At 37.5% G+C, this 15,823-nt stretch overlaps 1 protein-coding gene across 4 annotated transcripts in view; it reads right to left on the minus strand.

Annotated features, from left to right (window-relative positions):
- The window catches only part of WDR33 (WD repeat domain 33), a 110,145-nt gene that overhangs the window by 33,329 nt on the left and 60,993 nt on the right, over positions 1-15,823 (minus strand). Inside the window, exon 8 of one of the 4 annotated variants that reach the window (NM_001006623.4) lies at positions 1,065-3,699. The exons of the other annotated variants lie outside the window; for them this stretch is intronic. Within the exon in view, the coding sequence (NP_001006624.1) occupies positions 3,650-3,699 (50 nt within the window). The 3' untranslated portion in view covers positions 1,065-3,649. Of the gene's footprint in view, positions 1-1,064; positions 3,700-15,823 lie in introns of those variants that run through there. 4 annotated transcript variants of the gene reach the window in all.

Genomic DNA, 15,823 nt, shown 5'->3' on the forward strand with positions numbered 1-15,823 from the left:
CTAGCTAAATGACCAGTGACAGAATTAGCATCTCCTGGAGACAGGTGATGCTGCTTTGTAGATTAACCTGTGTCTAATATGCCAGAAATGTTTGACTTACTACTTTGTAATAATTATTTGCAGAAAGTGACCATTAATAGCATTAAAATGTACAGCAAACAGGAAGTAAACGATTTCACTTATTCTACTCGTTCTTTCACATATTCATTTATGTACTCTTCCACTTCCACTCATTAATTCAAAATAAATGTGCATGATGCCAACGTTTATTGAGCTCCTGTTATTGGTGCTCAACCTCTCAAATATGTGGTCACCAAACAAAACAAGACCTGAATACTGGGGAGTATTTGTAGGGTTACATAGTGCTAGAACAACAGCTTTTTAAGAAAGTTAATACTTAGAATAAAAGTCTTCTGGATCAAGATTGAAATTAAGCTTTAAAAAAACATGAATGCACTTTTAAAGACCTTTCTCCACAAAATAAAAACAGAAAACTCTCTCCCCCTTTTAAAATATGCTATGTAACCACACTTGAAATAGCAAAGTGCAGAATGCAAACAAGATAATTTTCCTAATGAAAAAAATGCCTAATGTGTTAAAAAGGAGATTCTAGAAATAAAATGCAGACTCCTTAATAAACCTTAAAATTCTAAGAATAACATGATAAATGGATTAGGTATTAGATATTTGGTGAACAGACATTCTAGACTTGCTTTGTAGATAGTGAAGACTTCTTGTTCATTATTCCCTGTCCCAGAACCGTAAAGTGTAGTGCAGTGAAGGCTAGAACCAGTAAGGGCAGAAGGTCTGCTTTTTGACTATTCCCTTAAAGGAGGAGGTTCCCTGGCTTCTGTGAAACTGGATGTAAACTTTGTGCCCTGTGCATTTTTCTCAGGCCCTCACCCCTCCTCCACCTGATCACCCCTCCTCCACCTCATCAGATCCTAAGGAACCTGTTACCCCAAGCCCCTAAATAACCTGTCTTGAGACAGTCCATAGGATCCCAAAGCTCGGTGAACAGTCTGAAAACCAATACATAATAAGTTTTATTTGAAGGTCAGAAATGGTGTCCATGTTCCCATTTTATTTTTCCTGGATCAGACCATTTTATGAACAAATCTTAAAAAAAATTCTTTTATACAAAACTTATAAAAAGCACCAAGATTTTCTAATACAGGAAGAAAAAAGGCAAACAAAGAATTCAAGTACCATCTTGTACAATATTAACAGAACTGTTACTCAAGAAAATGTGTTAAACATTAACAGCAAACTCAGGCTACTTCTAGCCACAAGAACATAAAATGTAACAGATCAGTTTAAGACAAAGGGTATATGAGTACCCATGGCCCATAGCCAGATACTCCAGTTGGACAGAGGATTTAAGATTTTAAAAAATTAAGAAGCATAAGTAATCTGTGCTCTGGTCAAGGAATATGCAATTTATTAGTATTTTACCTTCCTTTAATGCAAAATGATTTCACCACAACCCAACAGTCAACATCAACTTGGAGTGATTACTATTAGTCATCTTTGTTGTCCAGTCTAGAAAGTTACATCAGTGAAAAACTATAGAATTAAATGGAAAGTTAATTCTGGAAAGGGGGTATGCCTAGGCAGGGCAGTGTTTTCACAATGTATGTTCCAACAATACAGTGCATAGAATCATGGGTGAAGGGGTCCGGCAGTCAGGTAAGTTGAGCAATGCTGAATTTTAAAATGGGTAAGTTTCTTTCCCAGTCTGAGAGCCTTCAGTCCTTTCAATATGTACATTATTACAAATCTGTGGGAGAATTTGGTCACGAGTCTTCTTTTCTCAAGAGTACTTCCAAGTCTGCCAGAAGGCTGATTTTGGAAATGTGAAACACTAGCTTACTACATTTGTCTGGCAATGATGAACCTGAATTCAGCAGAATGGACACTTCCGGGGGAGGAAGAGGAGACTGGGGAAGGGCATGTAAAGGGGCCTTTAACCTTTAATTTGTAATGTGTATTTCTTTACTGAAAATTCAGAAATGAGTGTTGCAAAATGTAAGGATTTGATCAGAACTGAGTGGTAGCACAGAAGTGTTTTTCAAGTTATAAAAAATTTTGAAATGTATAGTGTCAGGAGCAACCAATACACAAACATAAAAAAGCAAGCTCAAATGGATAAAAAGGTAGATGCACCATAAATCTGGCAGTCTCTAAGTCACACATTTACTTTGCCTATGTAGGTAAAATGGTTTCTATTGATTTGTACCAACTTGTATTTACATGGAAGACCAACAAAGGCTGACCTAAAAGAAACTGTCAAATAGGTTAGAAATTGAAATTAGGCATACAACTCATAAAATTAGTGCCGTGTAACTTCTTAAGTACTTCTGGCATCAAAGTGAGCAAATTCTTATGACTATATGGTAAAATATCTAATTTTTGAGTCAAATAAAAACATATACAGGTATAAGTTTTGCTGAAACTTACATATCAGGCTGCTGTTAAACTCTTTTACAATAACGTGGGGAAGGGTATAAACAGGAAAGTGCACAATTTCCATTTGAGTCAAATTTAAAGGCTGTATTTAGAAAAATCTTGAGAATTATGAAATGGAGAAAAACAGTTAATTGATAACAATTTGAAAAGGTACAATATTATTCCAAAACACTGCCTGAGGGTGTATAAAATGTGTGTCAATCTTCTATATTCTTCAGTTATAATAACCAGAAAGAAGCAATTTTGCAGTATGTTTTGTGCTAACCAGCAAATTCTCCTCTGTGGACTTTTTAAAAAATTTACATTTTTTTAAAGGCTACTTTGCAGAGTATTCATCAAAGATGCTTAAAGGAATGTGGCAATCAAATATTTTTCAACCTCAATTCTGTTGTATTCATTCAATTCTTTGATATTAACACCAATATCATAGAGAACATCAGCCATTTGTCTGAGACGGGAGATACCAGTGTCCCACACATGCAGAAAGCAGCAGCAAAGTCCGCTGTAAGAAAGAGTACTCTGAGGTGTGTGTGTACATATGTGTGTGTGTATGTTCGGGCACATGTTATTCAACAGTCACAGGTTCTCTAGTAAACATTTCTGCAGATATTCACAATTCAGTAACAATATATACAGTCAAGAAAAGCAGTATATAGTCATCACTTGAAAAGCTAGAAAAGTGCAAAAAGAAAAAGAAAAGACATTCAAAAGATTGATGGGAGTCTGGCACTAAATACCAAGACTATTAGAAAGGCCAGTACCTACACTACGTTAATAATAGATGTATTAGTGCCAGCAGACAACCCAGGCCAAGAATAAAGAGAAGCCATGACTGAAGCCCCTGGTAAGGAAGAAAACGCAGAACCAAGAAGGAAAACAAAAGATGTTTCAAATGATTCTTCTGGAGCACTTCCATGGTAAGCAGTCCTTTTGAAAGCAAGGTAGAGGTGAATGAACAAGTTCACTTTCAGTTGGCCAGATTAAGGATACACTTCTTTTTAATTGAGAATTTAGAAACATAAAAGCAACAAATAATCCGTGTCAAAGTAGAAGAGTAGTTAACCCATAGCCATCCACAGCATCAACTGTAATTTGAATCTATGTTTTGCCAGAATCTTCTTGGGTATATTCACAGAAGTTGGTAAATGTGGCTCCCTAAACTTTGTCCACCTACTGTTATTCACCTCTTGACAGAAAGGAAGTAACAACGGCAGTGATGAAAACATGTATCTATCAAAACAAGAAGGGTGCATGAACTCTTAAATACTGTGCAGGCAGGTATCTATCACATGAGCCCTGGCAGATTGTGTAATTTCCAGATATGACTGAGATTTTTTTCTATTAATGAGTAATCTGAGATAACATATGCTCCAACTGGATCTTAACAAACATCTCCATTTCTGTTTCAAAGAAAAATGTAATCTGAGAAAACTTCAACTGGGAGCTGGTTATATTATTAATTTCCACCATATTAAAAACATATTCCCATAAAATATCCATTTAGTCCATACTGATATAAGCAAATAACTGAATAAATAAGTGGAGAAGAGTGAAGTCTCCCATGCCTAAGAATTCCACATAATTTACACAGTTACTCCACCTGAAAAGAGGTGAGGTGTAATGCTCCACTCCTTAAGTGTGGGCTATATATTAATATTATGACTTCATTCCAAAGAGTACAGTATGAAAAGTGGGAAATAAGAGTAGCTGTTGTTGAAGAAACTTGACAAACTCTACCTCAAGCAGATGATCAAGATCAACATCAAGTCATACTGATAGTATACATCCATGACATGGTATGATGAAAATGGCACTTTACCTGTGTGATCTTCCTCTCAAAAACCGACAATTCCCTGTCTAATCATGAGAGAAATAGTAGATAAATCACAACTGAGGGACATTCTGCAATATACTATACAACTTCTCATCAACACACTAGCTGCAAGAAGAGAGTGGGGCTACTCAGGGCACACTGCCTATGGGTTAGTCCTGCCCCGCAAGCAGTCACTCTGTAAATAATTTTCTTGATTAAAATGAAGAGGAGGAGGAGAATGGAACAAAATCTTGAAAGTGCTGAAATAGGGGGAAAAGTTTTGAATCTAGCATTCAATATCCAACCAGTCCCGTTATAAATGTAAACATGAAATAAAAGACACACAAGAACCTTAAAAATTTTTGCCCACAGACCTCAGAAAAAAGATCTTACCATTCCAGAGATGTGAAAACCAAGGAATACTTAGTAGGAAAATCCAAACCAGTTCAAATTAAATTAAACATATTATAAACAATACCAGTATCTACTCGTGAAGGTGTTTAAAATCTGCCATGTTCTTTTTCTTTATTGAATGAATGAGGAAATGATGAGAGAGCAAAAAATAGACCTATATACACATTGTTTAAAATCCAAAAATAAGTTCTTCAGGAAAATAGATTAAGGGTTTATTCCACTTTCATCTCTGAGCCAGGACCAAGAGTAAATCATGAAAATTCTCATTTCCACTTACAGTCGACTATGATTTCCCCCCCGTAAGAAGAGAATAACCAAGTGATGAAAGTAGCTTTGTCCAATAAAAGCAGCAGTGTCAAATCAGTTACATTTGGAATCAAGAAAAGGGTATGTTACATGTAATTCAAATAGGTTCAGTGCTCATATGCTACATAATGGCTAATAGTAAAAAATTTCCAGTAAACTGGTTGTGTTTAAATCTCAGATGTCACTTACTAGTTACGTCCTTAAGTAATCTACTTAACCCTTGCCTAGCCTTAATATTTACATGTACAAAATGGAGATTATTACCCAATTATTGGCTTGTTTCAGGAATTAAATACATGAAGCACTTAGCATCATGCCTAGCATATATTTTGAACATTCAATGAATAAAAGCTTTCATTGTGATCCAATCTCTGCCCTGAAAAAGTTCACCATGGGGACAGCTATTTCCATATAGACTTAGTTATCCAGCAAGAGCTGTTACTACTATGAACAGAGTATGGGAAAGCAGAAAATGGCTCGATGTGAGAGCATGTTCCCAAAGTGCAACTTTTGTAAGACTGCTAAATTTCAGTTTTCAAATGACTCCAGAAAAAATAACACTGAATTCTGATTATGAACATTCACCCCAAGTAATACACTTGATGTAATGCCATTTACCTCTCAGAACTAGAAAACACAAAATGAGAGACCACCATTACATTCACTATGTTGATTATGTTTTTTTTTAAGAAAGACAGATACTACTAAGAAAAACAGCATTTAAGTCCTGAGTACTTAAGGTAATACTTTTAATGTAAGTACTGATTCCACTAGACTACAATGCCACCTCCAACACTGAGAAGATGATACCAATCACTTCCTTTTTACTTGTGGTGTGAATGTCTGATGGTTCCGTCTACATTTTCTCTACTGTTAAAGAATGTTAACTCATTTCTAGGGGGACAAAAAATCTACAGGAAAAATGCTGGGCCACCAGCGTTGGCACACGCCTATAATCCCAGCACTTTGGGAGGGATTTGTATTTCTCTACACACACACACACACACACACACACGGATTTGTATTTCTCTACACACACGCACACATACACACACGCTGGGTGTCATGGTGCCCAGGGGGACATGGGCAGTGGCTGAGGTGGGCTTGAGCCCGGGAGGTCAAGGATGCAGTGAGCTGAGATCACACCACCACACTTCCAGCCTGGGTGAGAGTGAGATCCTGTCTCTAAAAAAGAAAAGAGCTGGGTTCAACACAATCTTTCAATTATTTTAATTGATTACTCATCTCTAAATCCCCCAATGCCATGGATTACCTTAAGCTTCAAGTATACGATTAAAATTTAACTATGAAAGATGTCTTAAGAAATGGAAAAATGATGGAACTTGGGAGAATATCAGGAAAGAGGTAAGGAAGATTATTTCAACGCCACTAATGTGAAAAGGGAATTGTGCTTTGGAATAAAATCATGATTTAATACTAAGTAAAAACAAATATGCAAGCCTCTTCCTAAATTACTTTCAAAGGTTTGCAGAGGATGAACTTATTTCGCAAGACTGACATATGTTGGCTACAAATTTTAGGAAATTTTGAAAAAACTTCAACCAAAAAGTGGCCATTCTCTAAAAACAGATGGACCCTACCTATGAATAAACCAGAGTAGAGAAAAATGAAACCCAAAATACATAGACTGTAGTTGTCAGTGACAAAGGTTGTGGCAAAGGCTCAGTGACAAAGGCTGTGATGAAGTAATGAGGGTAATTATAGGGAGACTTGTCCAGGTTGTCCCTCCTGACTTCCTGTTTCTGTAGAACAGATGCTCTCAGTCAGACAAAGCAAATTATACAAAGCACATTTGTTACAAAAAGCACATTTCAGTCTGGGAAGAAACCCTAGAGCAGGATTTGAGGCTGAAGAGTAAAGCAGCACAAAGTCTGCAGAAATGCCACGGATGACACTGAAAATGGAAAGAAGTGGAGGGCAAAGAGAGAATGGGAGAGGAGGAGAAAAAGAGAAAAGAGAAGGGAGGGAGGAGAGAAAGATGGCAGTTCCACTTAAGAGTGGAATAAACTTAAGCACTCCACCTCAGAGTACAAACCACAACCCACTTACTTGATAAATGTGGCAGTGGCCTGTGCTTCTCCACTCACTTCATTAAACACACACAAACATGCACGTGTGTACACATGTACAAGCACACACACAGACACACGAATCCACAGTGAGATCTTCCATCCAGGAGAGGACCCTTGTAGGTAAGCGAACTTAACTGCAAAAAAATGCAAGATAGCTACTTATACTAACCAATACAAACCACCATTCAAATCTCTGGACAACCAAGGGTCACTGCGTTATTTGAGAAAAAGCAAGTACCAGGAAAGAGAAAAATACAGATTATATGACTTTAGGGAAAACAAACAGGAACAACAGATCAAACCAGACATCCACACAAACACCCCAATTACTATGTTAAAGGTTTTAAGGGGTATATTCCTTAAAAACAAACCAACTACAAAACAGGCTTCCTTGAAAAATGAAAAGATTAGAGAACCACTAGAAATTCTTGAAAAGTAAACATGCAGTTGATAAAAATAACACTTTCCGGCTGGGCACGGTGGCTCACACCTGTAATCCCAGCACTTTGGGAGGCCGAGGCGGGTGGATCACCTGAAGTCAGGAGTTCAAGATCAGCCTGGCCAACATAATGAAACTCTGTCTCTACTAAAAATACAAAAAATTAGCCAGGTGTGGTGGTGGGTGTCTGTAATCCCAGCCACTCCAGAGGCTGAGGCAGGAGAAACACTTGAACCCAGGATGAACTTGGGAGGCAGAGGTTGCAGTGAGCTGAGATCGTGCCATTGCACTCCAGCCTGGGCAACAAGAGCGAAACTCCATCTCAAAAAATAAAAATAAATAAAAATAAAAATTTCGGCTGGGCACAGTGGCTCAAGTCTGTAATCCCAGGACCTTGGGAGGCCAAGGTATGTGGATTGCTTGAGCTCAGGAGTTTGAGAACAGACTAGGCAACAAAAAATTAAAACTAAATAAAAATAAAAATAAAATTAGCTATGCATGGTGGCTCACACCTGTAGTTCCAGCTACCAAGGAAACAGAGGTGGGAGGATCGCTTCAGCCCAGGAGGTCATGCCTACAGTGAGCCATGATTGCACCGCTGCACTCCAGCCCAGGAGACAGAGACCCTGTCTCAAAAAAAAAAAAAAAAAAGGGAAGAAAAAATCACCAGAAGGGCTGAAAACCAGACTGGGCATGATTGAAAAGTAAATCAGTATTCCAGGAGACAAACAGAAATCTCCCAATACTTAGAGAAAGGGCAGGAACACAAAACATGTAAGAAAAAATAATACTAGATAGACAGCTCCAAACAGCCCAACAGTCATCTCCTAAGAATTCCGTAAGACAAGCAAAGACAATGGAAACAATCATCAAAGAAAGAAAAATCCTTTAAATGGAAAAAAGATAAGACTGCAGATGACAGTATGCCAAGAAAGATGAAGTTTAAAATATGTATACCTATACTCACAGTTAAAAAAAAAAAAACAAAAAAAAACACCCCTCAGAGAAAAGAGATCATTCAGAAAACATTCAGAGAGGAAAGTCAAGATATATATAAAATAATGAGACTCAGGATTATATTTGAGTTATCAGTAAAACTGATGGAAGATAATGAAGGACGTAAAAATTCAGAAGGCAAAGGATTTCAAACCCCAAACTATGAGTCAAGTATGATGGTAATTAAATACCTTTCCAGACTCAATAATTTTGATTTACCTCCTAAGCGCTATTTCTGAGAAAAATGTTTGAGGATTTTCAACTGAACTGGGAAAAAATAAAAAAAGAGTGGACTTAAAAGAATGCCTTCAAAAACAAAAACCATTTACTCAAATTGAAAAATTAAAAACCTAAAAATTTGCTATGATAAAGGTTTTAGTGACATTGATTTTTAAAAACAGGAAAGGTAATAATAAATTGCAAGACAAAAGTGAATTAAACTATGGCATTATTTTCAACAGTTGACAGCATGACAGACTTAATACAAAAGCAGCATACTTGATCTTGACACTGTCCAAGCAGAACAACTTTTCATTAACTACCACAAGATTATCACTCTTTCTGCAAGGCCCCATTATACTGCTTGGTTCTGTTATCAATAGTATCATTCATAGCAGAAATGCTATCTTTTTTGTTCTCATTGTTTAGAATTTTAAAATATGAAGAAAACAAAAGTAGCCATAATTCAAGAACAGAATAAAATTGGCTTAAAATCCTTGACAATTCAGAAGTAAAGGAAGACAAACGGCAGAAGTGGAAACACATTGAGAGGCACAGATTTCCTTCTGTAACCTAGTGGTGAGCCAAGGAATATTGGCTAAAGTTGGCAGTCCCCTTAAAAATAAAGGTTTAAGAACATTTAAAGCTATAAAGAAAACCACTGAAACTACAATTCATTATGACAAAAACGAGGAGGTAGGAGGCATGGTTGGTGGTGTGAATAACACTCAATTCCTCACCTTTGATGACAGAAAGAGGCACTACGTCAGACAGATATACCAAAATACATATTATGTGAAATTCTGATGACCACAAGAATAGAAACAATTAGTTTTAAGAAACTACCTCTGGGGAGAGGTAAAGGATTGGCAGATTTTTAAATTTCATATTCCATCCCTCTATGGGGCTGGAGGAAAGACTTTTTACCATGTGTGCTTATTATTAGTGATTTTTAAAAATAAGGTTAAATATTTAGGTGGTGACAATTTCCTAAAATGTTAATCCTGTGTTATTTTCAGTTTGGCTAGATGACAAGAACTTTCTTAAACTTCATCGTTGATGACTTCCTGGACAGTGAAGACAACTCATCTTCCAAAAGTTTAAATGTTCATACCCTTTGCTCCATTGAGTTTATTCTTAGGAGTCTAACCTAATGGAAAATTTACGTAAGTAACACAAATATAAAGGTATTAGGAAGCTTAGTGCACAACTGTGTCTTGGCAAAAACTTCTTGCAAATCCCAAAGGCCTATCAGTGAGGAATAGTTAAATAAATTACAGTAGATACATGCAGTCAAAAAGACTGGGGTAGTAATGATGCAGAAAAATGACCTTAATATACAGTATAGTGAGAAAAGCAAATAGCAAAAGAATATACGTAGTATAATCTCCTTTCATGTAGTGATTTTTAAAAGCATCTTTTTGTATATGTATAGGAATTCTAAAAAGATATACACCAAGCTTCAACAGAACAGTGCTTACCTCTGGATGTGAAATTGGGAAATAAGAGGGGAAAGACGTTGACTTTTTACTTCTAAGTGAACCTTTTATGAATGTTTATTACCTTTGTAAAAGGCAGAAGTTCTCAAGAAAAACAACTCTTAATCCCACCCAATTCTTTCCTTACCTTTCCACCCTTACATTCCCCAGTACTCTTCCACCACAGATCTCAGGCTTCCATATGGCATATTGTGTAGGTGTGAATACACCTTCATCCTGCACTTCATATTTTTTCAAGATATTGTAAACCTACCAAAAAGTACTGTCTCCAATTCTTACTTCCATGCAATTCATAGAATATACCTTTCACCATGCATGACTGATGAAAAAAATGCATCTCAGTGTTGCATTTGGTCTTCGGCTTGATTGGTTAGAGAATGGCACTGCTAACGAAGCCAGGTTGCGAGATCCCCATATACATCAGTTATTGTTATGCAGTCAGCTTGCCTTTGTACTTATCATCTTCCTGATCACAGGACCAGATATAGAAGGATCAATGTAAATCCATTTTAACTAGTGGAAACACTTCTTTAAAACGCATACTGAGAGCGGCCTTCAGTGGCATAGTTGTTGTATTCTGAAGAACACATTTGTGTAAATGTACGACCCAGAGTTTATTTGTTCAACCCAGTCAAGCATATAAAAATCACATAACTGTGCTATCGATCCTTCCCAGAGAGAATTCTGGTTAATCAGATATCTGCAGCAGCATTACTGCCTCTGTGCTCTTTGGGACCAGTGTGATGTTGGAATACATGGGACCACGAAGTTCCCAGTGTCTGGTCTGTACTTCTCATCTTCAACCAACATACTGAACACAAAATCAAAGAAATATGGCGGAGTGAAGGTTTCTCACCCTTAACTGTATTTAAACAATGGTTTTTCTTTCATGATTCCTTTACAGAAACAGCAACAAAGAAAATCAAAGACTGAAGAAAAACAGATTAAATGAGGACTTGTGAAGCAACCAAAGTGCTGGTTATATAAATATTTCTAACAATGAAGTATCTGATTTTGATCCAACTTAAAATGACTATTAAAAATGTCCAAATAAACAGCTCATACCACAGACATACCACTTTATGGGCTTCATATTTTTTCAAGATATTGTAAACCTACCAAAAAGTACAAGTGGAAAGAATGCTCCAAGTCTGTAGAGTAACTCGGTATGTCTTACACTCATCCAACATGAATTTACCTAACTAGAACTCAAAAAACAGCACGTCGTTCTCCAGAAAGATTCAAATATATTATCTATTCAAAAAACAATCTGTGGCTGGGCATGGTGGCAAGCTCCTGTAGTCCCAGCTACTCAGGAGGCTGAGGCAGGAGAATTACTTGAGCCCTGGAGTTCAAGGTTGCAGTGAACTATGATCATACCATTGCATGCCAGCCTGGGAGACAGAGCGAGACTCTGTCTCTAAAACATAAAATAATTAAAAAAAAAAAAAAAAAAAGGTAAGCAAGCAAAGGCAATGAAGAGAACAACTCTAATGCAGGGTGTGAAGGATTGCCTTCTGGCACTCCTGTGGTTCTGAGATGATAGTGGAAATAAAATATGAGGACTTACATAAATAAAGCTTTAAAAAGAAGTCATAGTTCTATTTCAATATAATGTTATCTATTTAAATGTGGCTTACAACTTTATCAATCACACTTCTAAACCTAAAAATCACTACTGAAAAGATAATCATATTCCAATACTAATTTTTGATCCAATAATCTCCTCCCATAAATACCTTTCCTTAATACCTTTAATACCTCTCTTTTAATACCTTTCCTACTCAATTCCAATCTCCTCTTAAATCAAATTAAGTAAAATATGTTATTTTCTTTACTCCTATCTTGTCTTTTAGCATCTTTCCTTGATATTTATGACTTTAGCAACAAACATTTGCTTCATCCTGCACTGTGCAGAGTATGTCTGTGGTCCTCACAACAGCCCTGTGAGGTAGGTATCATTAGCTCTCCTTTACAGACGAGGAGAGGCAAGCTGAGAAAGACTTGACTTGCCCAGTGGCAAAGCGGGGATTCAAAGCCAAACTTGCTGACTCTCAGCTGAGTGATGTTTAAAGTTCCCCAGAGGAAATACGGAGATTGTGCCAAGCAGAAACTACCACTGTAACTAGAATTTTGGAGCAGCTAAAGAGGAGGTTTAACAACATTAATAATTTCTTCTTTGTCACTTAACCACTGTAAACAGTAATTACACTATATTCTTCTATCATTACATTTTAAAGTTAACAATACACAATAGTTACCCTTCTTTTTATAGAAAAAATACTTATTACAAATAGACTTGCACTCATCATTGCCTATGAAAAGACACAGTAAACTGGTACTATTCAGCATCAATTCTGGTAAATGGATGTTATTTAAAAAAATGTAAATATACGATTATAGAAGATGATCAAAACCAGTGAATTTTGTGGAGATCACCAAAGTGAGTTTCGCCCAAACAGATTTAGTTTCAAAATACAAAGCCTTATTTTCAAGGCACTTTAACCAAGAGAATACACCACAAATCTATGTGTCTAAATTATATGAAAATTAATTCTGGCATCTACACAATTTAGACACAGGCACAAATGGTATTTATCTACCAATCCTGAAATCTGTGGTAACTCTGGAATATGCTGTTTTTTCCATACGAAATTATGTACTGTACCTAATAAATAAAATACAAACAACAGTTTAACATACAGTGTTTAAAACCTAAAATGAACAAATATTTCTGTGTGAAATAGTCTTTAGGAGAAAAATCTTATTCTGAAAACATTTTATCCTCAGTTTGGTCCAAATCAACAATATTTTAGGGCTACCGCTGCTCTACCGAAAAAAAAAAAAAAGTAAAAACTTTTACAATCTAAAACCTTTATTTAAAGATTTTGAGGTTCCCATGAGCACTCAACGTTAGCATAAAAGCAACTATGAAGATTTCAATGATGATACATGATGACATTCTCTATTTCTATGGGAAAATTCTATACGCCAGTGGCAAAACTAGTGGTACTATCTGAAGAGGCTGCTTTTGCCTATAATGTATCCTGCTTGTCTAATGCTGGTTAACATGCCACCAAATTCTCCCCAATTGCTCCGTTTTGTAAAAACATACTGCTGGCATCATTTCAGCTGGTTCCAACCTGTGCCTGCCGAGCATGTCGCTGCTACTAAATCCTGACCTCAAGTCTGTCTGGATTTCAATATGTTCAAGAAAGTAAAAAGCAGCAGCCCCTGACCTCTGAGAACTAATCTGATGTTCAAGCTAAGCCTTGGTGTTACTACAAACTGTTCTGACATGTACAGCTTAAACATTCCACGCTCCTGTTGGACAATCTCACTGAACGTCAATATCAAAAGTAGTCACTCCAAGACCATGGCAAAGTGAGAAAAAACTAGGTCACTGTACAACCCACAAAATACAAAATTCTCTTTCTTGCTGAATGAGTGACAGCTATTTCTTCACCAATTACAGCTTTAACCTCAATCTACTTGACCCCCTCTATAAGATCTGTTGATACCCAATCATAGAATTGCCTCTGTTTTCCGACAGCACCCTATCTAGAGCAAGCCCTCATGTCCTTAGACCTTCCCCCCAAAATTATCCAAAGCCCAAATCCTATAATACATTATAACACCCTGTTACTAGGACACCCCATGGTTCCCTGCGGTCTGTGTTCTTTGCTGCAATGAGCAATAAATCCAACCTGCTCTATGACAGGTGTACTCCTAGTGGTCTTTAACTGAAGGGTATTCACACTTGTAAATACTAACAGTGAAATGAAAATAGACTAAATGTTCTAGGCTTAGAAAATGACTCTAAAACTATAATTCACAGGGAGGGCAGCTTTGGATGATGCTGGTGTAAGATTTCTTCAGTTTTGCTTTTAATGTCAAGACCATGGTAAAATGTTTTAAATGGCTCAGGTAAAGTAAAAAGCATTAAAAACTGTTAAAGCAGAGGAGAAGCTTTTACAGCCAAATTGATCAAGAGAATAAGCAGGAGTTAATCAAGGATCATTTCAATTGGCGGCAGCACATCCAAGTATCTGGGTTATGTCTAGATTTAGAGGTACTTTAAACAAGGGATGCAGGAAAATGCTCATCAACAATAAAGCTGAAGCTATAAGGAAAACATGAAAGTGAGTAATATCTTTTTTCCTGAGACAGGGTCTCATTCTGTCACCCAGGCCTGGGTGCAGTGGTGCATGGCTCATTACTGTCTCGATCTCCTGGGCTCAAGTGATCCTCCTAACAGGGCCTCCTAGGTAGCTGAAACTTAAAAAAAAAAAAAAAAAAAAAAGTGCTCACCTTAACTACTGGAATTATCTGGATAGTATGTTAGCTGTGAGAAGAAAATAAAGCAAGATTTTCATATGCACTCTTTTGATGAAAGATTTTTAAAATTTCTATAAGTATTAATCATATCTACAAGTACAAAACCAAAAATGTGGCCGGGCTTGGTGGCTCACGCCTGTAATCCAGTACTTTGGGAGGCCAAGATGGGAAAATCTCTTAGCCTAGGAGTTTGAGATCAGCTTAAGCAACATAGTGACATCTTGTATCTATTAAAAATAAAATAAAGTTAGACAGGCATAGTGGCATGCAACTGCAGTCCCAGCTACTCAGAAAGCTCAGGTGGATCGCATAAGCCCAGGCAGTTGAGGCTCCAGTGAGTTGTGATCGTGCCACTGCACTCCAACCTGGGTGACTGAGTGAAACGGTCTCAATAAAACAAAACAAAATAAATAAAATGATGATGAAGAAACACCATAAGGGCAGGTGTGGTGGCTCGTGTCTGTAATCCCAGCACTTTGGGAGGCTGAGGCAGGTGGATCACCCGAGGTCAGGGGTTTGAGACCAGCCTGGCCAACATGGTGAAACCCCGTCTCTACTAAAAATACAAAAATTAGCTGGGCATGGTGGCAGACACCTGTATTCCCAGCTATTCGGGAGGCTGAGGCAGGAGAATCACTTGAGCCAGGGAGGCGGAGATTGCAGTGAGCTGAGATTGTGCCACTACACTCCAGCCTGGGCAACAGAGTAGGACTCCACCTCAAAAAAAAAAAAAAAAAGAAATGCCATAGTGTTGACTACTTCCTCTTTCAAGACAAGCCCTCAGCAACTGTGCCAAACCTTAACCTTTACAATTATCACAGTCCTCAGTGTTTCTCGTCAGCAAGAACTGAAACTCTCCATCATACTGAGTCTTTCAAATACCTTTCATTTCACAGGCTTTTTTTTTTTTTTGAGACGGAGTCTCACTCTGCCACCCAGGCTGGAGTACAGTGGCCCAATCTCAGCTCACTGCAAGCTCCACCTCTCGGGTTCACACCATTCTCTCACAGGCTGTAATTTCTAATATCTGCTTCTTCTTAAGTCAAAAATGTTATCAGCTTATTTCTCATTGTAGGAGAACAGGCATTTGTGGGGAGGGAGGGACAGGGTCTCATTCTGCCACCCAGGCTTGAGTGCAGTGGCGAAATCTTGGCTCACTGCAGCCTCAGATTTCCCAGGTTCAAGAGATCCTCCTACCTCAGCCTCCCTGGTATCAGGGACCACAGGCACACGCCAC

This window comes from Homo sapiens, chromosome 2 (genome assembly GCF_000001405.40).
Source record: "Homo sapiens chromosome 2, GRCh38.p14 Primary Assembly".
Lineage (NCBI taxonomy): Eukaryota > Metazoa > Chordata > Mammalia > Primates > Hominidae > Homo > Homo sapiens.